The 26,177-nt window shown below is 40.2% G+C and overlaps 1 protein-coding gene across 6 annotated transcripts in view, besides 1 other annotated feature; it reads right to left on the reverse strand.

Annotated features, from left to right (window-relative positions):
• FSHR (follicle stimulating hormone receptor) overlaps positions 1–26,177 on the reverse strand; it is a 192,359-nt gene that overhangs the window by 14,234 nt on the left and 151,948 nt on the right. For 4 of the 6 annotated variants that reach the window (NM_000145.4, XM_011532733.3, XM_047443867.1 and 1 more), the window contains 4 exons: positions 14,176–14,247; positions 12,587–12,664; positions 6,708–6,776; positions 6,522–6,596 (listed from right to left, as the gene is read on the reverse strand). In NM_000145.4, the coding sequence (NP_000136.2) occupies positions 6,522–6,596; positions 6,708–6,776; positions 12,587–12,664; positions 14,176–14,247 (294 nt within the window). Of the gene's footprint in view, positions 1–6,521; positions 6,597–6,707; positions 6,777–12,586; positions 12,665–14,175; positions 14,248–20,788; positions 20,854–26,177 lie in introns of those variants that run through there. The other 2 variants (XM_011532735.3, NM_181446.3) reach the window with 2 other exon arrangements.
• Positions 15,095–15,184: an enhancer, noted in NCBI's record as "active region_15749". NCBI's record gives its function as "activates an Ori minimal core promoter by ATAC-STARR-seq in GM12878 lymphoblastoid cells {active_cell/tissue: GM12878}" and the evidence as "EXISTENCE:reporter gene assay evidence [ECO:0000049][PMID:35858748]".

Below are 26,177 nucleotides of genomic sequence, written 5' to 3' on the forward strand. Positions count from 1 at the left end.
TATTTCATTGAGGATTTTCGCATCGATGTTCATCAGGGATATTGGCCTGAAATTTTTCTTTTTCTTGTCTCTGCCAGGTTTTGGTATCAGGATGATGCTGCCTCACAAAATGAGTTAGAGAGGAGTCCCTCTTTTTCTGTTGTTTGGAATAGTTTCAGAAGGAATGGTACCAGCTCCTTTTTGTACCTCTGGTAGAATTTGGCTGTGAATCTGTCTGGTCCTGGGCTTTTTTTGGTTGGTAGGCTATTAGTTACTGCCTCAATTTCTGAACTTGTTATTGGTCTATTCAGGGATTCATCTTCTTCCTGGATTAGTCTTGGAATGGTGTATGTGTCCAGGAATTTATCCATTTCTTTTACATTTTTTAGTTTATTTGCATAGAGGTGTTTATAGTATTCTCTGATGGTAGTTTGTATTTCTGTGGGATCAGTGGTGATATCTCCTTTATCATTTTTTATTGTGTTTATTTGATTCTTCTCTCTTTTATTCTTCATTAGTCTGGCTAGCAGTCTGTTTATTTTGTTATTCTCTTCCAAAAGCCAGCTCCTGGATTTACTGACGTTTTTGAGGGGTTTTTCGTGTCTCTGTCTCCTTCAGTTATACCTAATGTAGATGATGGGTTGATGGGTGCAGCAAACCACCATGGCACGTGTACACCTATGTAACAAACCTGCATGTTCTGCACATGTATCCCAGAACTTAAAATATAATAATAATAATAAAATCCCCTCTCCTCTCTCTCTCTCTCTCTCGTTTCTGTCTTTGAATAACCTTGACTAATACAATGACTATTTGCTAAAGATAGGCTTAGAGAGAGGCCCAGAACATAAATCATGGCACAGTGAGGGAGGGTTATTTAGAATAGTTATTCTGGGCAATCATACTTGGAGGAGTAAAGGGAACCATGGGACGGGATTAGATCTCTGAGCCTTGATAGTCATGCAGAAGAGTTTAGGATTTATATGAGCAGAAGAATGGTTTATTCAAAGCTGGATTTTTGTAAGATTAGTCTTGAGAACCTTGATACCAGCATATGGTGGGTGTTCAATAAATAGTTGGTAAACTAATGGAAGGGGAAAGGACTGAGGGTAGGAAGGGGACAACGTGGCTTTTGCAGAAATTCAGGCCTAGGATGACAGAGGCTGTCTCCTCCCACACTATCACTTCACGTGTTAAAAGTCATTGTGTGACATGATGACAAGGGTTTATTAGGCATCTGCTGTATATTACTATAGCCATTTGTGAAAATTTCTGCAGTGCTCATTGTACTGGGGAGTAACATTCATCCCTTGGCCAGATGCATTACAGTAGGTACTGTTTTCTGTTTTCACATATATTTCTTACCCCTTGCCAGACACACAGTAGGTGTTTAATCAACATCCACTAAATGTATGTCATGTAAGACTTGATGCCCTCAATGAGTGCTTGAGAATGTTTACTTTATTCCTGCCCTTGTGCCTGGAACTGGTGGGCTGGACAAGCGGGGAGGGGTAGTTGTGGACTGGTGTTTTTAAACTTTATCTTTCAGGCTGGTCTCTTCTAATGATTTTGGTCTTTCTTTTAAAAATATCACTTTTAACGTTGCAACACATGCTATATTCAGATAGTGAGTAGTTTTGAGAATTTAAATCTTGAAAAGACCAGTGGATACCCCATGGGATTATGACTTGCACAGAAGAGACTTAGTAATTTAAAATTGTTTCCACATTGTTAGTACTCTTCATTTTGAGATACAGAGTAGCAAGAGAGACTGCATGGGTAGGAGGGTAGTAAGAGGCTGAGGCAGGAGAGGCAGGAGTTAAAAAGCACTCTGTGCCCCATTTAATAAAGTGTGTTATAGCCAGTGCCACAAATTTGATTTGAACAATTTCTATTTTTCCCAGCAAAGATGTTATTACAGGTCAATCATTTCCATAAGTGAGAGCACATTTCTGGTGTATACTACACTGACAGATGGCTAGAAGACCTCTCTTTCATGATCCCAGGCTGGATAAAAAGGCAATTTACTATCTATAGGACTGTGGGTACACTGGTAATGGAAGAGAACCATTCTTATACAAATAACTCAGTGTTTGAATCTGAACTATCAAATGAATCTGAGCTATAGCCAAATCAATTTGATAAACCATCAGAATATGATTGTACTGGCTCCAGCCTGCAAAGGCAATGCATTAAATTTTCCCCACAGGAAACTGTTTCCCAAAGAAACAGCAATTGTTCGATTGCTTAAAAAAAAACAACCTTGAGTGAGTTCAGAATATCAGGTAAAAACTCAGATGGCTGCTGATGTTCAAGGTCAAGACTCACAAGGGGGAAATGAGGATGCTGAGCTGCTCCTCTGAAACTCGATGAAACTTGTTTGTATGCCCCTGGCTTTCTCTGCATCTATCTTTCTTTGTGTGGAACAGTGCACCCTTGCACCCTCAGGTGTTCAGAGGCTCCCTATTCTTCCCTCAACTACAAATTTTGCCTTCAGGAAAGCAGCTATCATCAGTTTGAGTGTGTGCCCCTTAATTTTCTTAGAATTCCTTGCATATATCCACTGGAGAAAAAGGACTGAGCCAGTGAGGGAGGAAGATTCACCACATTTGGCTTGTGGAGGAGATATTTTGGAGACTGAGCAAGGCTTCCCAATTCCCAATATTGGTCCTAGGGCAGTAATTCTCAGAGAGCACTCTGGACAAGCAGCATCAGTTTCACTAGGAAGATGTTAGAGATACAAGTTATCAGGCCTCAACCCTGACCTACTGAATCAAAAATTCTAAAGGTGGGAGCTGGGTGTTATGACTCACGCCTGTAATTCCAGTGCTTTGGGAGTCCAAGGCAGGAGAATAACTTGAGGCCAGGAGTTTGAGATCAGCCTTGGCAACATAGTGAGACCCTGTCTCTGCAACAAAAAAAATGGCCAGGTGTGGTGGTGCACGCTTGTAGTCCCAGCTACTCAGAAGGCTGAGGCAGGAGGATCACTAGAGCTCGGGAGTTTAACGCTGCTGTCAGCTATGATGGCACCACTGCACTCCAGCATGGGTGATTAAAAAAAACCACAAAAACACCCCCCCAAAACCTACTCAACTCTGAACATGCTGCTCTAGGACAACTGAGAACCACTCACAGCTGAGGTGGCTCATAGCCGAGTCTACTCTGGGAATTGCCCTCAGCTGACTTTCTCCTCCCCAGGAGTTTGGTTCCTCCCCAGGGACAGCCTGCACCCAATAATTCTTGATATGGAGGACTTGCCCCTTACCTTAATTCAGTACAACTTTGAAGGACCATCTTAACTCCAGATCTCCCCATGGGATCAGCTGAGCCTTTTGTTGCAAATGCATTACCCTGATTCTGCTTCCATCAAGGGTTCCCTGTACATTCTGAGAGCACCCTCCGGTAAACCTCCCGCATGCAGATATATCACAGTCTTTGTGTGTGTGTGTGTGTGTGTGTGTGGGAGCGGGGACTGCAATCTGACCCAAGGCACAGTCAAGATCAGCATGATTTGCACCTACTGTGGTCTGAATAGCCTACGCATACTCCTACTCTTACCTCTTAACTCATCACCTGAGGTGGGCTGGTCTACTGCACACCTACACAAGCACCTCTCAGGCCAGGGTTTAGATGGTTTAGTGTATCTGGATGCAGAAGTGAGATGTGGAATAAGCTATTAGTCTTCTTGCATCTCAGGTCAGCAGGGGGAGAGGCTTGAAGAACATCTATGGACTGATCTGAAAGCCCCAGAAAGGGGGGCTTGATGTTAAGGTGAACAATTCTTTTGGCCCCAGGGGGAAAAGAGGAAATTCGCAATTATAGGCTGGGCTTCCAGCCAGGATCCTGCACTGAGATGGAAATATGTGGGAATGTATTATCACTCTCTACCTTTTTAAGTCATGGGGAGTGCTTCCTAATTCCATGGATTTTCTGTAAATTGTATTCCCTTAATTCTAGACAGATGTGTTCCTGTGGTAAGAAGGACAAAACAATGGGCCTATAACTTGAGGACCTTGTAGAATTGCTTCCGATGCTTTCACAGAGGCTCTCTTCCTGCCTGCGTTCACAGTGGGGCTAGATGGGGGATTCAAGTTTTGTGTTCTCTGTTAAACATTCTTATGAGATACATTGTGCAGTATCTTCGCCTGGAATCTGCTTGTGCAACCTCAGGAGATGTTCTTCTGTGCCACGTTTATCTAACATTGACTGGTGTTCTTAGGCTGGGAGGCTGGTGTTAATAGTTATTTTCCTCTCTATTTTAGCTCACAACCAGTTTCAGGGGGCCTCACCGAATAACTTTTAGATGTTCAATTAAACGTATTTATGGCAACATGGTATGGTGGGAATACATGGAATGTGAGGCAGAAGACCTAGTTTCTGGTCCAGACTCTGCCCCTTCTAGTTGCAGTGTGATCTTTAACAGATCACTCTCCTCTGGGTTCTGATTTCTTCAGTTGGATAATGAAGGAGTTGGGGGATCTCATCCAACTTCATTATTCTCGGGAGCAGATAGGTTAAGATGCTATAGATTCAATATTGTACCTGGTACAGGTCACATATATAAACACACCCATCACTGACATATTCTGCCATGAACAGATAGAGATGCCTTCTTAGGAACATTCAAAACTTTCAGGGCTTTTTGCTAAGTGAAACTGACATGCTGCTATTGTGGGGATCAAAGACATCAAAAGTACTTGTCAAAATTCATTTGTCTCCCGAGTACTCTAAGAACAGGGTACATGAACTAAGCAGTACAAGTTTTGAGTACTTTGTATTCTTGAGTACATGGACTATATGCCCAACACTCTCCATTTGTTAGCCCTGGGTCCTTCCTTGTACTTCATAGATAGATCATGACTTGATATATTAAGTTGTATATTTAATGTATTGCCTGACTCCTCTCTATTCCCACCCCCAATGAGAATATAAGCTTTCTATGAGGAGGAACTTTCCTTTGTTTCCTGCATGGCACAAGACTGATGCTTAAAAATTTATCTGATGAGTGAAAAAATATTTATGTGTGTGTGTGTGTTTTATGCTTCAAATAATATTAGGAAATAGGTATTGTTTTGGCCATTTTTTTTAGGTGAGGAAACCAAGGCTTAGAGAGGTAAAAGAATTGGTCTAAACCAAGGCAGTCTGCTCTGTATCTCCGCTTTAATCACACGGATACTCCATTTGTATAGGTTGCCTATCTCAAGCCAGGCATTCTCGAATAATCTTTGAACATGGTCAGGATGATAAATCTACCTTGAAGTGTATATTTCTTCTTCAAAGCAGCAGAATCTCATATATAGATCACAACACACCCTTTATCATTAATAATAAATATTTAAAATTCTGACTCTCCATACCAAGTCTAATTCTAGAGGTACACAGGTTCCAGCCTGAAGGAGAATATTAGCTATTTGGTGTAGACAAAAGTGATGCAGATAGATGGTTGGTCGGTAGGTGGGTAGATAACCACACATGGTAGCCTATGCTAACTGCCAAATAAGAGGTTCAGGCAGGTGGCTTCTAAACGCCTGACTTGACTTAAGGCAGGCTACATAAGGATCATTCAGTAAAACTGTAGATTTATTAACATGTTTATCTATTGCTCTGCTCACCATTCCTTCTTGTACCTCATTCTCTCCTTTTGGGTTCCTTTCTTCATCTTGAAGTACTTTTTTCAGTCAGTAAGTGTAGTAGGTCTTGCTTAGAGCCCAGGAACACATTTTTAAAAAGCCTTTTTGTGATTGTGATGCAGATTGTCCCCCCACCAAAGAAGCCTTAAAGGCCATGAGAGCCACGGGAAGAAGTCACTGATGGCGAGGTTGTCAGAGAGACTTGAGGAGGTAGAGGACTTTGGAATGATGCTTGATGGAAGGGGCAGTGTAGGTAAGAAGAGAAGATGGGAAAGTCACTTTTGGAGGGAAAGATGGAAGTAAGGAAATGACAAGAGGGAGGGGTGCTGATGCAGGGCTGTGAGGCACGGAATGCATCCCAAGGGATTTGGAAAGAGGATCCAAAAATAATGTGTATATAGGTCTCATTGGGTTGAAGGAACCTCCTGAGTGTTGAGGATGATGGAGAATTGTGCTTTCCTTTCCAGGGAAGAGACACATGATCGAGTGGTTGTGGGTCTGTACCATGAGTTAGATCAGTTTAAATCCCTGCTGTAACTCTTGTATAACCTTGAGTGGGTGAATTAACCTCTCCAGGGAAGCCAGTTTTTCCTTCTGTAAAACGGGAATAATAGCTCCTACCACAGGGGGTGATTATAAGGATTAAACAAGAAAATGCATCTTAACTTCTGAGAACGCCATCTGACACTCTGTACGTGCTCATTACATGTTATTATTAGTGTTGCTTTTTAATGGAGAGTTAGACCGTGGATAAGCCTTAAATTGTCTCTATAAATTTTTGCAGATGACACGAATAAAAATTGAACTTGATGGCCAGCCCTGTGTTGGAAGCTTCTCCCCTAGCTGCAGAGAGTTGACTTCTAACTTACACAAACTGAGCTCTTACACACAGAAATGGGGAAAGCTACTCACAGAATGACTGGTCCAGAGGCTCCGTGGAAAACATCATTAGGCAATTCTTCTAAATTATTATTATCGCTTAGATTCCTGGGGATGGGGTTGAGGAAAGAAGAAGGAAAACACAAAGCCACATAAATATTGCTGTTGTAAGAGCCATTTCCCTTTAAATGGCCTTGAAGAATAGTCAGGGCTACTTACAGCTCATCTAGTTGGGTTCCATTGAATGCACAGTTGTGTATTTCTTGAATCCCATTCTTATTCAGCCATCTGAAATAAAAGGCCTATTAAAAAACCAATAATGTCAGATGCAAACAATACACGGGTTTCATAATTGGAAGCACTGAGCAAGGGCAGACAGCACAGGTTAGTGGCATAAAGAAAATGCCACTTTTAAAGCTTGGGGACACGGGTGGGAGGAAGACTGATTTATTGCTGTATAATCTTTTGTAACTTTTGAAGTTTGTATTACTTGCATGTATTACCTATTCAAAGGATTAAATGAAATTTAAGTTTGAAAGGCATACTTAGGCAGAGCAGCCTGGATTCTATAACTGTAAGGTCTTTACACACATCATTTGTGTGTAGAGAAGCAATGCGGGGAGCGACAGATCTTTCTCATCCTGAAGGACAGGAATCGTACAATTATTGAACAAGTGTTTATAAGACAGAGAAAGAACATTTTGTGTCACCTTTCTCTAAGGCCTTAAGCCTTTCACCCATGATCACCCACAGCAGCAGGCCTGGCTGTCATCAAAAGTGATCTAATTAAGTTGTCAGACAACCTGAACATCTCCTGTGACCCATAGGGACCTGGTTATTGGAGGTTTGTGGAGGTGGCTCTGGGTTAAGCCAGAAAGGAAGAGAAATCAATTACAGAGAATGTGGGCTGTGGCAGGGTGAGGTGATCTGAATGAGCAGGGGAGGAGGTTCTGGGGGAGGTGGAGATGGGTGTAGAACAGCCATCCTGATTGCGCTAAGAAGGTCAGTGAGCAGGGTTCCCTGGACAGGGGAGCCCAAGGACACCTTGGGCTACAGCTCTGCCTTGCTCTGCTCCTGAGTGGATCTGAAAACAAAAACAGATACCAAGGTCAGGAGAGCTTAGCCCGAAGAACCTCTGACTACCTGCTCTTGTTTTGCTGTCAGGTTCTTTTCCCTGTCCAGCTTAGTGGGCTTGCAAATAACACTGTACAGAAAGCTGACCCAGAGAAGCTCCTGTGCATCCAGGACTCTCTTTCCTGGGCTGCCATGGGTAGCCAGAAAACACTTAAAATCACAGGAGAACAACTGTATGTCTTTTTCCTCCTCTTGAAAACCAATTACCTAAAAAAATCCAGAAAGGGGCGAGGCAAATCTTTTAAAACATTCACAATCAATTGGTGGGTTCTGATGGCAAAGAAGTGGCTATGCACCCCCAATGCCATTTGAGAAAGCCTCTCCCAGGCACATCTGGACTCCTGACTGTTGCAGGATAGTGGGAGTTGCTGAGGTAGCTGTGGCATGTGGATCCCTGGGGATTTGAATCAAATACAGGATTCAGCAAACTTTTTCTGTAAAGGGCCTGATAGTAAAGTTTAGGTTTTATGGGCCAAAAGGCAAAAATAAAAAATATTATATAAGTACTTTATGTACTTATAAAACAATTACCACAATTTTTTATTGACCAAATTCAAAGTGTAATAATTGGGTATTTTTTTTTTTTGTAATATAGGCCTAATATTGAGAAGAGAATTTTTAGTGGGGGATAACATTTTGCTTAACTTAGATCTAATGTTAGTGTTTCCTGTCTTAGCTCATGAGCTGGATTTGGCCTCTGGGTTATATGTAGTTGGCTGACCCTTAATCCATACAGGTTCCACCTATTTGCCTATTGACTAGATAATTAATATTTCTTGCATATTACTGTCCTGTAAATCGATGTTGCTATAATCAAATAAAACATAAACTAATTTTAAATAATTATTGTATTCAAATATCCCTTTGTCTTTATGGATTATCTCAATCAACAGATACCATTATATGGGGAGGAGGATGGTATTTCTTGATATCAGCAGTGGATCATCACACAAAAAAAACAAATTATGTTCAGAACTGCTGCCCTTGGATTTACGTTATCTGTGGGAATCTCAAGCTAGTAACAAAGGGAAACCCACATTTATTACACGCACCCCTGGTCTCTTAAGAGAGGAAGTACCTATTTGAAAACCAGATGATGACGATGATGACGATGATGACGATGACTACAACAACCTGGGCAGAACATCAACTAAGGAGTTACTGCATCACAGGCTTACCTTAACCCTTTTGTGTCCTTGGGGATGAGGCCAGTGTGCTCACTCAGCAGAGGCTCAGGAAGCTACAGAAGTGAACTTTGCTCTCATCCTAAAGAGTGGAGGTGCTGGGGACTTGGCCCTTTAAAACTCATTGAGGGGCAGGCAAGGGAGACGGGCAGACTGAGGAACAGAGGAAACACGCACGAAGCAGGTCTCTCCTGAGGCCCGAGTGTGCTGGGCACTGTAACGCATATCACTCATTTTATTTCTTCTGAATTAGGACATTATTCTCCTGGCTGGCCATAGCTAGGTGCTTTCCCCATTCAGGCACTCTGCTTACCAGGGCACAGTGCGGGTGCAGAAGGGCTCAGAAGCCTCTACACAGTGGGTTTTTATTGCTCACTTCTCTGATTCACTAGGCTAGTGTCTGATAATCTTTCATTGCTGGTTGCTTTAAAAATACATTTACTTTTAGAACAGGGCCTCAGAATTTTTTTCAACTTTCAGTTTCAGGGGAGCAAGTACAGGTTTTTTTTTTTTTTTTTTTTTTTTTTTGAGACGGAGTCTCGCTCTGTCGCCCAGGCCGGACTGCGGACTGCAGTGGCGCAATCTCGGCTCACTGCAAGTTCCGCTTCCCGGGTTCACGCCATTCTCCTGCCTCAGCCTCCCGAGTAGCTGGGACTACAGGCGCCCGCCACTGCGCCCGGCTAATTTTTTGTATTTTTAGTAGAGACGGGGTTTCACCTTGTTAGCCAGGATGGTCTCGATTTCCTGACCTCATGATCCACCCGCCTCGGCCTCCCAAAGTGCTGGGATTACAGGCGTGAGCCACCGCGCCCGGCCGCATGTACACGTTTTTTACATTAGGTAGTCTGCACGTCATGGGGTTTGGTGGACAAATAATTCCATCACCTGGGTAATAACCATAGTACCCAATAGATATTTTTTGTGATCCTCTCTCTCCTCCCTCAGGTAGGCCCCATTGTCTGTTGTTCCTTTCCTAGAATCCATGTGTTCTCATTGTTTAGCTCTTACAAGAGTGAACATATGGTATTTGGTTTTCTGTCCCTGTGTTAGTTTGCTTAGAATATTGGCCTCCAGCTCTATCCATGTTGCTGCAAAGGGCATGATCTTGTTCTTTTTTATAGCTGTGTAGTATTCCCAGAATTTTGAAAATTGCTATCCATAGAATACTTCAACAGTCATCAGCGCCATTTGCCATGCTTTTTTTTTTTTTTTTTTCTGAGTGTGCTCAAATGTCCCCATGGGAAGAAAACACCCCTGCATCGAAGCTGCCAAACTAGAAACGATTGGAGACTTAAGTTGTGTTAAGTATGAATTACATGATTTTATTGTCTATGGATTAAGGGACAGCCAAAATAAGAACAATAGAAATTGTTTCCACAAAAGTGAGTTTATCCTTTAGAGACATGTCTGAGAAACATTCACTCTTAAAAGAAAACTCCTTTCCTGAAAAGTGTGTTCCTAAATTCTGAGAGATCAGTGTCCATGAACAGGAGTTAGGAAAGAGCAGACAGGATCTATATGTTTCCCTTGTAGCTTTGGGTTTGCAAAGCTATGTCAGAAGTTCTTATTTCCTCAGGTTCTTTGCCTCTAGTTGGGGAGAGTTGAGACCAGGTCACTTAAAGTGCTTTGCCTTCTGTCTTACGGTCTGGACAAAAAAGTCAGATCAATGATACTGTGAGAACAATATAAGCACACTATGCAAAACTACAAGAATGATATGAGCACACTCCCACTTAATTATATATTTTCTATAAAAAAATTGAATAAGTTTGCCATATTATAACATTCATTTAAGTCTATTTAAAATGAACATATATTTCAAGAAAGATCCAAATAAACATAAACATCTAGGTATAAATGTTTACATTTATCACCAATCTCCCTCTGTGAAGTAACCCAGGAATCCTTTTACTGTTGTGTTTGTTTCACAATCCAGCAGGCCAATATGACTCATGTATTCACTATTTTCCACAAGCTCTTTGTATTATTATTTTTATTTATTTTATTTTATTATTATTACTTTTTGAGATGGAGTCTCACTCTGTTGCCCAGGCTGGAGTGCAGTGGTGCAATCTTGGCTCACTGCAAACTCTGCCTCCCGGGTTCAAGCGATTCCCCTGCCTCACCCTCCTGAGTAGAGGGGATTACAGATGCCTGCCACCATGCCCAGCTAATTTTTTTTTTTTATATATTTTTAGTAGAGACGGGTTTCACTGTATTAGACAGGATTGCCTCAATCTCCTGACCTCGTGATCTGCCTGCCTCTGTCTCCCAAAGTGCTTGGATTACAGGCATGAGCCACCACGCCCACCTGATTATTTTTATTTTTATAAAAGGCAGGTGCTCTTCCTGGTCTTGATTATTCTGTTCCCTCTGCACGCCCTTTGCCAATTCCCTAGCTAACTACTGCTCATCTTTAAAAGCCCATTTTAAAAACAACCTCTTTTTCTTAGCTTCCTTTCCCTTGTTTAACTCTTCCTTTAACCCTCGCATCACAGACTAGTGAGATTAAATCATTCCTTCTTTCCTCTTAGAATGATTGCTCTTTTTTTCTTTGTATATCATTCATTCTGCTCGCGTTTTAGTTTATTCCTTTTGCTTTCTCTTTCTTACCCTTTCTGCACCCCATCACCTCATCTCAACACACACACACACACACACACACACACACACACCCCTTCACTTCAAATATCATGAGCTTATGTGAAATGATTCAGTATCACTCACCTATAGCTTTTGTCCTAATATCTATGTATTTTGAATACATTCCTTTGATTTAATTTTATTGTTCCCTCCATACATTCAATTTCTATGCTAATCTGTTTTCAAACTTTTTCCATTGTTATCTGTGATTAATTTACATCAAATACAGTGCTTAGCTTTACTCATCAAAGTGTTATAATCTGTCTACTATTTCTTTTTTCTTTCAACAGCCTGGTCTCTGAATCATACAACTGAAGGGGGCTAAAATTCTTTATGGACTGGAACTTATGTTTTGTACATATAGGCATATTTTAAAAACTCATACTGGTATATTTTTTTAAAAACACAACAGTTTGTAAAATAGATAAAATGCTTTTCATATCTTACAGATGTAAGTGCAATTGCTGGGTCCCCAAATGTCATTCTGTGCATCTAACTTTCATGGATCCCAGGCATACTTAGATAGCCCATAGTGTCCTATTTCTTGGCCATACTTGTGAGTGGATAAACTGCTACAGGGGCTACTGGCATAAAAGAGTAGAAGGTCTTTCACTAACAACACAGAATGCTTTTAAGAGATTTCCCAAAAGTCAGAGAGAGTAACTCAAGCTCATTAAAAAATGTGATTGTTTCAAGAAAATGAGAAGTCATCCTATGCTCAGCATGGGCCTGAACAGGAACTGCTTGGCATGGTTATGAGGGAATCGCCATATCTTCCTGATTGGGCCTCCTTCCTGATCTTTTTCTTTGGGCAACAAAAGCCTTGCCAGGCAATAACTAGCTTTATTGATGCATGAGTTATTCTTTCCTTTGGAACAGATGTTGTATCACAGGAGATCATCATTCAAACAGCAATTTTAAATACTTGAATCACACCCCAGAATCATAAATTATTAACATGACTCCACATTGTGATTCTGAAATGTAAAGATGAGAGAGGAACGCAGAACTGGAGAGTGATTTAAGTGGAGAAATGCCAAAGTTACCCAAACAAAAAAGGAGCATCCAATTATGAGAAAGAGATCACTAAATGAAAAATCAAATGTTACTCTGTTGGATTTTTTCCCCCTTACTTACAGAATCACACTTTCAAAGCTCAGCCCCACGAAAGAATTTCTTTCAATTGTGTGGATGTTTATGTTATCTTGAATGTCACTAGAAGAAAGTACAGACAAATAAGATACTTACATCAGCTCTACTCATGTAACCTTCCAAAATTTAGTTTAACTGGCATGATGCGGTCTTCAGCTGAGGTAATGTATTAATATAACTAGTTGTTGTTTAGAAGATGATCAGCTCAAAGTTTGGAGAAAAAATTGTCTCTAATTTATCTTTAGTATGTTCTTACAAATGGAATTGCAGACATTCAGTGTCTTTTTTTTTTTTTTTTTTTTTTTTTAAGACAGGTTCTCTTGCTCTGTCACCCAGGCTGGAGTGCAGTGGTGCCATCACAACTCACTGTAGCCTCAACCTCCCAGGCTCCAGTGATCCTGCCACCTCAGCCTCCAGAATAGCTGGGACTGCAGGTGTGCACCACCATACCCAGCTAATTTTTGTATTTTTTGTAAAGTCAGGGTTTCACCATGTTGCCCAGGCTGGTGTCAAACCCTGTGCTTAAGTGATCTGCCTGCCTTGGCTTCCGAAAGTACTGGATTAGAGCCACTGGCCACTGTGCATGGCTTACTTTTTTCTTCTGAAGGTTTTCTTAAATAATTTCACCCTAATGTAACAAACACTTAAGCTGACCTTTCACCTCTTGTCTAACTTCTCTGTTCATCTTAGTTGGGCCTTCTCCTCATGTCAATCCCCTTCTTACAGCTAGTTTCCTTCTGCCTGTTCTCCTTGGGTCTCAGAATGGCTTTATCATTGATTTTTCTTTTCCTGAATGAAAGGATGAGGAAACTCTCATTTTCTGTTTGTATTCCTCATTTCCCCCGTCAACCTTCCCTGTTAGGTCTGATCTAATATGGAGAAGTAAATGTGGAAGTAACAGCTGTACAAGTAGTGTAGTAAACAGCTTGGAACAATTTGAGAAATTCTGAAAGATTTTCATATTTTCCTCTTTCTCTCCTCCCTCCCTGCTTATCTCCTTCCTCTCTGCTTAGCTCCTTACACCCCTTCCCCATCTCCTCCTTTTGGATCTGTCCATATTCTTACAATTTCACTATTGGGAATAGTTGCCATTATATGCTACCTTTTCTCTTCCTTTTTCAAAATACAAATACCTTGGGAAAAGGCAAACACAGCCTGTCATTAACTCTTTAATATGAATGTGTTTGTTAGATAGTTTCTTTGTGCCCAGGGCAGCATAGCAATTCTAGAAAGAAGAGGAGAGGATGCTGGAATACAGGGGGTGTTGTTTATGTGTGTGGGGGGCAGTAATTAAAGCGCTAAATAGTGAAAAAATGAGCCACTTTTTGATTTTGCTACATGCTGGTTTTGTGAACAATACTCTTATTGAAGGGTCTTTCAGTTTCCTCCAAACTAATATTGACTGGCCTGCAGGTAAAATCAAGGACCTCACTTCTGGCCTCCCTATCTTTGCTAACCCAGAGCAATACATTTGGAGGATGTAGACTACACAATGCATATTAAAGGCCCAGATAGCCGTTGGGCAAGACAGATACTGAGTAAAGAGTTGGTAGTCACTCAAGGAAAAAACTTACAGTAAAACTTTTTGGAGAGAATGAATCTTGTGAACATCTGGAAGGTGCTTAATACCTGTGTTGGATATTAACCTAGAGAGAAACAAAATGAGAGTGAGTGAAAATGAAACTGGCTGTTTAAACAGTTGTTAGAGCATGAACTTTCCAGAATAAAAATATCAATTTTGAACCATCAGAAAAATCTACGAGAAAAGCCCGTATATACGTGAATTAGGCTCATGTTTTCTATTTTAAGGTTCGTTCCACGGTCTTAAAAGCTGTTGATTCCTCAGAGAAAAGAAACTTACACTTCAGTCACAAGGGGATTAGGATGCCACAGTATACATTAAAAAAAAAACGATTGATAAGTTAATGTGACCCTAAAGCAACTTCCAACTAGTAACAAAAGTTTCTTAAAATTTCCCCTATTTCCAACCTCATCATACTTGTTGGAAAACTCCTTTCTCCACTCCAAGCGATTCTCTTGGGATTAGAGCATGAGATTCCATGCCCTAAGACCCTAGGGTATGTATGTGACCTAAGCTGGGCCAATCAGACTCTCTCCTGGGAACTGGTTAGAGGTTGGTTAGAGCTTCTGCTGTCATTACCCTTACGAGATGGTTATAAATTTCTATAGCTGAAAATTTCAGACCTACCCAGGATCCTTCCCAAGGTCTGGTTGTATTGGCCTGGCTTTCCCGGGAAGCAGAGCCTGAGAAGAAGCCTAGCTGTGGGTAATATAGCTGATAGCATGATTTCAGAGCATTCAGGACAGGGAGTGAAACTGGCAAGGAGGTGAAGCTAAGCAATACTACCACTACTGGTGATTAGTTCCTAATCCCAAGGACTTGAGTTAGGATATTTAAAAAATTGGTCCTCAGAACTGTTGATCTGAGTGAGGGAGAGTAGTGGGGGAAGGATGTGTCTGTAGACTCCCCTTTCCTATTGGTAAAAGGTGACCCTATGGTGTTAATTCCCCACTTATGGCTTGCACATTTGTGAGCACCCAGTGAGTTCCTGATGGGCATCTCTCACAGTGGTGCCCAAGAAGCCCCAGAGTAGGAAGTGAGAGGTGTACAAGGCTAGGCCAGGTGTTGTCCAGTTGCACTTGAGTGAAGCTGGATGAAATGTGGGTGGAACTGGCTGCCAGAACAATGGTGAGGGTTTTTAGAGGCACATACGAATTATTGGACGCATTGTTCTTTGTCATTTCTCTAACACCTGTGAGTTATTTGAAATCCTTCTACTACCTCTCTACTCCCATTCCCTTTTCTGTATGTGACTTACTCAAGATGGAGGTGGTGATAGTTGCATGCAACCTAAAGAACACTCATTGATATATATTAATCATTGTGAAGGACCATATGTCCTTTTGAGGTTTATGACTCAAGAAGATTTGGTGCCTTGTTCTCTGCTTCTGTATTTAGAGAGGAAGTGAATGCAGTCTATGGGTTCTCGGTGATGGTTCTCAAATTTTTTTTTCTTTTTTTCCTCTCTTGATTCCCTAATGTCCACATAGAAGCTGTCTTGGGCAATTCTCTTTTAATTACTTCAACAGCCCTTGAGTTAGTCTCCCTTTGCTTTTTATCCAGGAAAAGAGGTTCTTTTTTGAAGGATTTGTTGTGTTGTTAATGCGCTAAAAAATTATATACAGAAAAATAAACTCTTTTCAGCATAGAGGTCTATGGGCTAAGACAAATACATATAGCTACGTAACCACGAGCACAATACAGACATAGAACAGTGCCGTCACTTTCTAAATTCCCTTGTGTTTTCCCTTTGTAGTTCATCTCTTCACCTACTTCATATCCCTAGCAACCACTGATCAGTTTTCTGTTTCTGTAATTTTGCCTTTTCCAAAATGTTATGTCAATGGAATCATCCATGATGTCCCCCACTGGAGCCCAAAGATGCTCTCCACACAGCCACTGCCAGGGAAGTGGGGAGGAGTGGTGTCAGTGATTCAGGACTGTCTTTTCTATCTCTTCAGTGCCTCTTTCAGCGATACGAAGTTAAAACCAGGTACTGTGAGTGCTCACCTGATTTTTGGTTCTCATGAAGGTGTTTTTTTCTGTGTAGAGAGCTGTTAATTTGGTGTCTTTGCCCAGGGGACAATTGGTGGAGCTTTCTATTCCACCCTCTTGCTCTGTCTCTATCAGTGGAATCATCTAGAATGCAACTTTTGGGTCTGGCTTCTTTCACTTAGCCTAACTCCCTATTTCTCTTTCTTCTTTCACAGCAAAGCTTCTAGAAAGAGTTGTCTGCACATGCTGTCTTCATTTTCTCATATCCCATCGATCTTCAACCTGCTCCAATCTATTTTCATCCCATAACTCATAACTGAAACTGTGACTGTCATGCCAAAGTCTACAAACTCACCAACTACCAAATGTAAGAAACACTTTAAACAGTCACTTTATTAGGCCTCTCTGGATCATTTAGCATTTTTTTTCCGGACTCTCTTTTCTATTGGTTTCTGTCATTTTGCATTCTTTCGTTTCTGCTCCTTCTCCTGTTACTCCTTTTTAGCATTCTTTGTTGATTCCTTTTTCTCTATTTGTGCTCTGGGCCTTTTGCTTCTCTTTTCTATAGTCTCACTACATAGATCTTGCTTCCTGTGATTTTAAGTAGCATCAATATTGTGTGACTCCTAGATTCATACTTGCTGTCTGACTTCACTAGTCTATTGCTAATTAAAGCTTACTTTGCATATCCTCCTGAATGTCTCATTGACATAGCCAACTAAACTTGTTCCCCCCATTATCACCTCCACCAAACGGCTTCTTCTCAATTACTCTCCATAGATAGAATTGCTATCCATCAATTTTAATTTGACAGTTAAAGTTGGCTTGGCTTCTTCTTTCTCACGTTCCGATATCCAGCCCATCTCAAAGTCCTCTTAGATTCCATTTCCAAAATATGTCTTGACTTTATGCAATTTTGCCTATCTCCACTGACACCATTCCCAAAAGACCCTCTGAATGTCTGCAATATTATCCTCCTCTTCTTTTCCAATCCATTCTCCATACAGCACTCTGGGCCTTCTTTTCAAAAATGTAAATCAGATTGTTTTACTCCTTTGCTGCTAAGGCTTTAGTTCTTTCCCATAAAACTTAGAGTAAAATTTATACTTCTTACTGCCTACTCTTGCACCTTTATCTTATGCTATTTCCCCAGTGCGTTTTAGCCCCTGTGGCTTTCTTTCAGTTCCTCAGCTGTATTAAGTTCTTTCCTTTCTCCAAATATTTGCATGTACTTTCTCTAGAAGGCTAACCATCCATTCTTCACCTGGCGAACTTCAACTCACCCTTCAGAGTTTAGTTACACATGTCATTTCTTCAAAAAGGAGCTCCATATATGCTAAACTAAATTCTGGCCCCTGATTTATTCTCAATATAACTGCATCTGTTTTAGCACTCCTCAAAACTCTGAGCCATGTATTATTTTGTGTTATTTATCCAATGTCTGCCTCTTCAACCAGATTGTGAATCATATGAGGGCAAGATTCATGTTTTCCCTGAAAACCCAATGTTGGCACAGTAGTTGACGCATAAAATGTGCTCAATGTTTGCCAAGCTCTTTATGCCAGGTAATGTGCTATGTTTTGTCAAGAGATGAACTCACAAGGAATTATTCACTGCCTATGTTTATTACAGCTTACTCATTCAACGTTATTTGGGTAGCAACTTCCCCATCTCTCTTAGTGAATGAATAGGTTTTATATAATTGAAAGAATGAAGAATTCATGATTGCTCAATAATAAAGTTATGAGTGCATCATTTAACATCAATTGCATGAGCTTCCATAGCCACTGTACTTATGAAATATCTATAGATATCTGCAGATGCACATTGAGATCTTTGATCTTTATAGGAAAGAAATCACACTGCAAAAAATGGCTAAAATTATTCCAGTAGTGCTGAGTTTAAGGCACTTAAAAAGATCTAGTGACCATCTAGTGAGATGGATTATTGGTGATAATTCTGTAGCTGAGACTCTCTATAACCCCAAGATAATACAGGAAATGGAGTTCAGACGAACACTTAGTTTTCAATTCATTTTTCCCCTCTGATCAATAAATTCATGCTGATGGAGGCTGGAAGTGGGTAATCAGCTAGGAACTGTATGTCTCAATGGGTTTGCTTTTGTCAAATGACTGTTTGCTGCAAAATTATTTTGATTCACTCAACCATGGTTTATCTTCAAAAAACAGTTAAAGGCCTGAGGGTAAAATGTCAGTGAATTTAAGTTCTGCAAATGAGTCTTTTAAAGAAAGGTAACTGACTCAGAGTTTTCCCTCTCTACAGCCAGTTTTACATTCTAAGTTGATGTTAGCATCTTTCATGCCTGATTGTCCTTAATCTTCAGGTTGTAAAGTGAAAGTGAGCTTCTCTCCAATCAGGATAAACTTAGCGGGGTCCTGTAATTGCTGGGAACCATTCTTACCTATTCTGCCATAGGATAATATGCTTGCCTTTCATAAACAGGTGACCCTGAGGCTCTAAGGCTCATTGTCCTAAACATCATTAATGCTTTTATTAAGCTTCAGTAGTGTTGATGGGCTCTTATTTTTTCTTGAGTTAACAGGGTCTGTGTTTGCTTGTGTTGCACTGGTCTATGTGCCATCCTTCCAATAAAATCTCTGTTTTATCCAAGGAGGAAGGCAGACACAGTGTGCCGGTTTCAGGGAGTTTGGGAGTGAGTTAAGACTAGCACAGGTGAAACACTCAGAATGGTCTGGTGGAAAACTGTATGCTACTGATTGTGAATGCTTTATGAGTTCAGGGAAGGGGCTGGAGGAACAATATGGGCTGGAGTAGCCAAGAAGAAGTGCTTATAGGAAGAGGAAAAAAGTCAAGTATCTTAGAAACTACAGAGCCTTCTGGCCTAAACTAAGAGTAGCAAGTGTGTATATCCGGACCACACGAGGTGGATGAAAGGATGGGAAGCAGACAAAAATGAAATTAAAAGGCAGGGAGGAGGCAGGATTCCAGAAACTTTAAAGCTAGTTAAAGAAACATGGTAAAGAAGAAGCATGGTGTTAATTCCCCACTTATGGGCAAGCATTAGAAGCCACTTTATGGGGCTGCAAGGGGAAGCAAGAAGACTTGAGGGTTCCCTGAGCAGAGCTGGCCCATGTTTTCACCAGCCCATCATCTCAGGAATTCACAGAAGTAATCAGACCAAAGTGATGGTGGTTGAGAACCAACTGTGGAGGTGAATACTTAACCTACTGGAGTGAGAAAATTAAGCCAGGAAGGACAAGACATCCCTTTTTATCACATATGTCAACAAGGAAAACATTTTTTTTTACCTCTGTTCCACACCAAATCTACCATGGCATGGAATGATCGATTCTGAGACTGTGTGAAACAGCTCTCTCTTAGTCTAGGACTTAAGGCAGCCACAGAGTTCATGCTATGGCTTGAGTAGATCATTGAGATGCTTTAGGCAAATTTGATTAAGAGAGAGGATGCTGCCAGTTGTGTGTCCAGTTTATCCTTTTAGCCAAAGCGCATTTCCTAGTAACCAAGGCTGAGGGTTTGAAGTTGAACTCTTTTCTCTACCTACTAATTGGTTTCCTATGATATAGGATTTGTTTCCTTTTAAGCCATTTGATTCTTTTACTCTTTTACATTTTTAATTACATTTTTAAAGTCTCTTGCATAAAGTTGAAGTTGACTCCTTCCTCCTGACCATTCTGAGAGAAGTTAGGGCAATGATGGATAAGACTAGGAAGAGTGGGCTGAGCTTAACTATATACAGTTGATTCTCATTATCCACAGCAGTATGTTCTAAAAGTCACCTCAAACATGGAATTAGTGAATCACTGGCCCCATGGGAAATTCAGGGTTAGATTCCTATAAGCCTTTGGTGGCAACATTTTTGTCATGGCTTGATCAATATACAACCATGTTTTATATATGTTTCTATTTAAAGACACCTTATTTAATATTTCTTGTTGATTCATTAACACAACTCATGTTCTGGAGTATATAACTCATGTCTGAAGGAAGCTTATCTTACACATATATTTTTGGCCATTTTAAACCATGACATCACCAAGAAAAAGCACAAATATGGGGATAAAAGGCCCTAGATAGACCATGCAAAGGACACTTGATTTTCAGCATGACAGCTGAAACGAGGTGGCAGAATGCAGAGTCATTCAACCTCAGTTGGGAACCCATGTCAAGACACTCAAATTTTTGTCTTTCTGCAAAAGCACATGTCTAGGAATAATGCAAAAGTGTTTCACGTACTGATTTTGGATTGCAAATACATTTTAGCAAGTAGATTAATTAGCACATACAGAATCTGCAAATAATGAGGATCAACTGTATATGAAAAGACTCGCTACTTTATGAGGCTTGCTAATATTGATATTTCTATTAATTACAGATCCTTCTTAACTGGGAGTTTGTATATCTATATACAACATGATAAAAGATGCTAACATATGCTTTCTGAATCATTAAATAAACATTGCGCTAGGTATAGTATCACAGAATCGTGGAGTTAGATGGCAGAGCATGTAAGAAGGCGTATGAAAAAGGTCTTCAACTTAAGGTTTAGAGACCCTGGGTTCCAGTGGTCTCTCTAGCTTCTGGATAACACCAAACAGTTCACTTACCTTTTCAGAGTCTCAGTTTCTCTCTGTAAAATGATTTTGTGTAAGAAATTATGTGAGACAGTAGGAAAGCCTGGTTTCTTGCCTTTTCGATCTCACATTTTCAAAACTAGAAGTATTTAACTCTCATATTTAACTGGAACTCTTTGTCTCAGTCTCCATGGAAACCAAACTCCTTAGTAATCAGGGGAAATTTAAGGAGCTCAAGGGTAACATTTCCTAGAGGAGAGGTCAGTCCTATCGGCTTGGCTGCAGATTCTGTTCGGACCTAGCATCCTAGATTTGCAATCAGCCTCTGTTTTTGAGCAGGGCATGTAGCATAGCTTCAAAGGTAAGAGCTCTGGTGCCAGATGGTCTGGTTTCAAGTCCTCCTGGCCTTATCATTTTTTAAGATGTGTAGCCTTAGGGGTTAGTTGGAGTCTCCAGGGCTCAGATCTCTTATATTTTACACAGGGAAATAAGATTTACCTTTTAGGACAACTTAGCCCCGTGACCAGGAATTGTTACTGCTGTGGTCATGCTCCAGCCTTGTATTCCAGTTGCCATATCTGAGATTCTGATTTCCTTGATCCACTAGGACCTGGGTCATGTCTTACATCTCCCTAGTTCTCTTGGGTGCTCAAATGCTGTTTCCTTGCCTGAGTCCCTGTGGGACTTATATGACACTTCAGTAGGCTGGTCTGTTACCTTCTACCTGAGGCTCCTTGAGCTCTGCTGAGAACATTGGAAGTCACAGTGGACTTTCCCAGATTCCTCCTGCCCTCGTTCTCTAATTGCCTTCTGCTTCCTTCTGATAAACCTGCCTGGATCAACCTTTTTACCTTTTTACCTGTCTGACTCTGTTTAGCCTCTGGCTCCTGGGTTTTCTGATCAGGATCATACTATCACTTAGAGGTTTGTTGAAGTCAAGGAAAACTACTACCTAGAGTTGATAAATTAAAGATGACTTATACATTTTTTTTTCAAAAAGACAAGTGATCCAAATTTGTTGAGTTTTTCTTTGACAAATGGCTGTCAGAAATAATGGTACAAAGCAGATATTTTCTAATTAGACATACTTGATTTGTCTTTTTAAGTGAAAGGTGGTATATTAATGAGGAGGAAGGCAACAGGATTTGAAAAAAAAATCTGTGCTATGGATAAAGCATTGGGAAACATGTATGGAAATTGTTAATTTATTGCTGAAAGTGATGTATGTCATTATATATGAAAACTCTCATAGTATATGTTTTAAACATAAGGAAATGCAATTTTCTAACCAGTTTGTTTCTCGTGGAGTTTTGAATGCTTTCATTAAAAGTATAAAAAATTCAACATATTCCAGGTAGTTTCCAGGTACTAGTAAAATTCAGCTGGTGTATTTTTTCCCTGATGTCAGCCAGAACATTTGACTGACGTTAGGGAAAAAAATATACTAGCTGAATTTTACAACAGTATTTGCATAAAAGGGGTATAAACACTAAGTATGATGACTCAGCGACTATAGGTATGGAGCTGTTCTTCCATTGGATCTACCTATTTTAGTGAAGTTTTGTTCTCAACTTTGACAGCCATTAAAATCTAATATTACAATGACCTCTTAAACTAAGGATTAAAAAAAAAGCATATTCCATGAAAATGCTTTCTCAAAATATTGTTATTATATTTAGTGAGAGCAAAACAGGATTTTGTGCTATGTGAAATGGTACATAATAAGAGAAGATGCAAATATCGAAGCATATTATTCATCTTGATTTCATTCTTTAAAATATTATTTTTGTGTATGTGTGGTAATGCACACAAGACTGCAGTCATATGTGTATCTACTTTATCAATAAACTTATTCGGAAACATATGCTTTGTTTGTTTGTGTGTTTGTTCGCTGATGGGGTGAGGAATCAAGATCATACCATCCAGTGCATAGGATACTTTGCTTGGGAAAAGAAGCCTGTGTGATTCTGAAGAGCTGCCAGGTGGAAATGGTAATAGATATGTGCTATTCTGTTCTGGAAAGTAGATACAGGATTCATAATAATAATGGTCAACATTTATTGAACACTTCCTATGTACCAGGTACCGCACCAAGCACTTACTATCGATTATTTAATGTATTCCTCTCCACTACCTTGGAGACAGGTACCCTTACCATCCTCATATTAGAGTTGAGGATGCTCAGCTGAGAGAAGTCCAGTAGCTTTCTCAAAGCCACATAAGGAGAAGCACAGCTAGAGGTTGAATTTAGATTTTTCTTAATGTAAAATTTGGGTGCTTATTGTTGTCTTACCTTAAAGACAGATTCTAATTCATTATGAGAGTTGCCCAAGAAGAAATGGATTGTGCTGCTAAGCATGTGGTTCCTTATCTCTGCAACCATAGAATTACTATGTCCAAGTAACTGTATGGAGGGTTTTATTCCTGAAGAGGGCCTTAGACTCCGTAACCTCTAAGATGCCTTCCAACTTAGAAACTGAGCATTTCTCTAGAAACGGTATTTCCAGAAATACAAATACTTTGTTTGTGAATGAAATGTTACAATGGTCAAATACGTTTAGGGAATGCTGGGTTAATAAGGTTAATTAAGCAGCTTGTTTCCTGCAGGATTCTCAGAGCCTTTACCATGACATTATTCATTATAAGTTTCCAAGAGAAGGAAATAGTCGGCTGGCTTTCCCAAACATACTGACTTTGGACTCCCACATCATTGTATAGTATATCCTGAGTTTGGTGTTTCCTAGTTCAACCTTGGAAGCTCTGCTAAAAGCTAAAGCATTTATGTCACCTTCTTTTACTGTAGACTAATTCTTCAAAAAGACTATTACTATTAGGACATGGTTGGTAAACTCTGTCTTAGGAGGAGTATTCCATCAGTCAGCACACTCCATTCTTCTACCGTGATGTACATCAGAAAGTTCACAATACACAAAATCAGAACTGTATTGGTGAAAGGGCAGACTATGTCCAGTGAATTTTGGTTTACTCTCCACCACCAAGTTTGCACATTTTAGGATGGATCTCTTAGATTATAACTAGGGGAGGTAAAGCAAGGGACTCTGTGTAACTACGCTAGGGTTGTAAATGATATCAGTCTCAAGGTCAGTTTCCTACCCCTAGTCCGACAATTAACTTCTACATATAACCAGATTAGGGTAAAAAGAATCACGGCAAACTAAGTCAAAAGGGAAGTAAACTTAGGAGAAATCTTTGAGAAAATAGGCCTGACTTGAATGTAAAAAAATAAATAAGTTTGTGATGGGCTACTGTGTAGTTGTCACTATTGATGTTTGTGCTTTTAACTTGGAGCAAGCTATCGGATACCTCCGTGGCTAAGGCAGAGCTCAGTGTAGCCAATGTCATAGTTGGAGTTTTCCCTGAGACACAGTGGTAGAAGAAATGTTACATTCCAGGTTTCTGGAAACCAGTTACACAATTCTTAACCTCTCATGCACATTGGGCATGAAAGTAGTGTGGAGAGTTAAATTCGGGGAAAGACTTTGTGAGAAGGGTTTCTGGAGAAAGCTGTAGATTTTTCCCTTCCTATTCCTGTACCATGGAAAGGGTGGGGGCTGCTTGCTGCTTCACTTAGGTTGAAAGAGGGACTTTAGAAAGACCATGTGGAAAGTTTCATAGCTGCTCCCTCTAGCTTGGGGAACACAGTGACCAGTGTCTGAATTTGAGCTGAGTGAGAGGCTGGCTAAAGTGGCAGTAGACCAGAACACTGCTAACTGAAAAGGAACTGCAGTCCTAGGAACTGGTTACAGAGGTCACAAGTCTGACCCAGATTTTTCTTCTAAGAAAAAAAGACTTGAAAATAAACTAGCCTTATTATTTGTGTAGCACATACCTGACAAAGGTATTTCATATGATCTCATTTGACTTTACAATAGCCTTCTAAGGTAAACATAATTATGATTACCATTTTACTGATAAGAGAGGCAAGGCTTACAGAGAGTAACTGACCTGCTCAAAATTTCTAGATCTGAGCCAGAAATAATAATGGTTAATACTCACCTATTTCATTGCCATAAGCTAGACACCATTGTAAATGCCTTGCCTGTATTAAAGTCATTTAACGCTGCCCATAACCCTATGAAGGAGGTACTATTATAAACTCTATTTTATAGATAAGAAAACTGAGGCTTAGAGAGTTCAAATTATTGTAGCTTGTCTGATAGAAAGTAGAACAGATGGAACCTGAACCCAGGCACTCTGGCTCCCCTGCCTCTTGGTGATGTTGCTTCCATCATACTGCATTGGCTGTATAAGAACTTTTAAAACCTAAAGATATCTCTAGGTGAGATTCGCAGCTAACAGAGTTGCCAAGCAGCAAACTTTTGAGACCTTCTTGGATGCTGATGTTAGAATAACTTGAATTAAACTACCAATTTGTGGCAAGCAATTACTTTTAAATTACATAAGGGAGTTGCAAAAGAGTTAATATTTTAAACAGTTTGCACACCCTTCCCACAACTCATTTCTAATATTAATTATTTAGAAAGCTATTTCTTAGGTACACTTCAACTTAGCCCAAGAAGATGATCACAAATTCCAAGTGGCAAACGTATTAATAAGGTGTCAATATTGTGTTCTGAGCACTGGGCACATTGATGTTGGCTTCATCCACATTCTAAATCTCTCTAGCTGTGCTGTGTTGGAATGCAGGATGAACTGGGTTGGAGTCTGACATTCCTGGCTTCAGTTCTTAATTATATCAACTATGTAATCTCTGAGTTTCAAAGACCTCATCTGTAGATTGGGAAAAATGCATACCTCACTGTTTTAGAAGATTGGAAGGTAACTTGGGTGAACAGAATGCTTAGTTCAGAATCTGCCATCTAGTAGATGCTCAGTAAGCTCAGTGTCCCTGGGCCTTCTTCCCCAGTATAATTTCATAATCCCATTTTGTAAGTTTGGGGAATTCAGTTAGCATTTCTGAACCTCAAGCTTCTGGTCTGTAAAATGGATCCACCAGTAAATATTTTACAGGTCTTTTGTAAGACTAGTTAATTAATACAAAGTAAAAGAGCTTTCTGCATTATGATTTCTGTTACTCATGCCCGTATCACCCAGCAATACCTTAATACAACTACCAGTGCTTGCATTTCTTCATTGCTTTTAACTTTCAAAATGTTCCCACACCCAGTTTCATCTTGCCCCTTCCTTCCTCTTCTCTCTTTACAATAACCTTTTGTTAAGAAATGAGGCAGCTATTTTTTTCTCCATTTTCCTTGAGGCCCAGTGTATTAGTCCCTTCTCATGCTGCTATGAAGAAATGCCTGAGATTGGGTAACTTATAAAAGAGAGAGGTTTAATTGACACGCAGTTCCTCAGGGCTGGGGAGGCCTCAGGAAATTTATAGTCATGGAGAAAGGGGGAGCAAACATGCCTTCTTCACATGGTGGCAGCAAGAAGAAGT

Source organism: Homo sapiens, chromosome 2 (assembly GCF_000001405.40).
Source record: "Homo sapiens chromosome 2, GRCh38.p14 Primary Assembly".
Classification (NCBI taxonomy): Eukaryota; Metazoa; Chordata; class Mammalia; order Primates; family Hominidae; genus Homo; species Homo sapiens.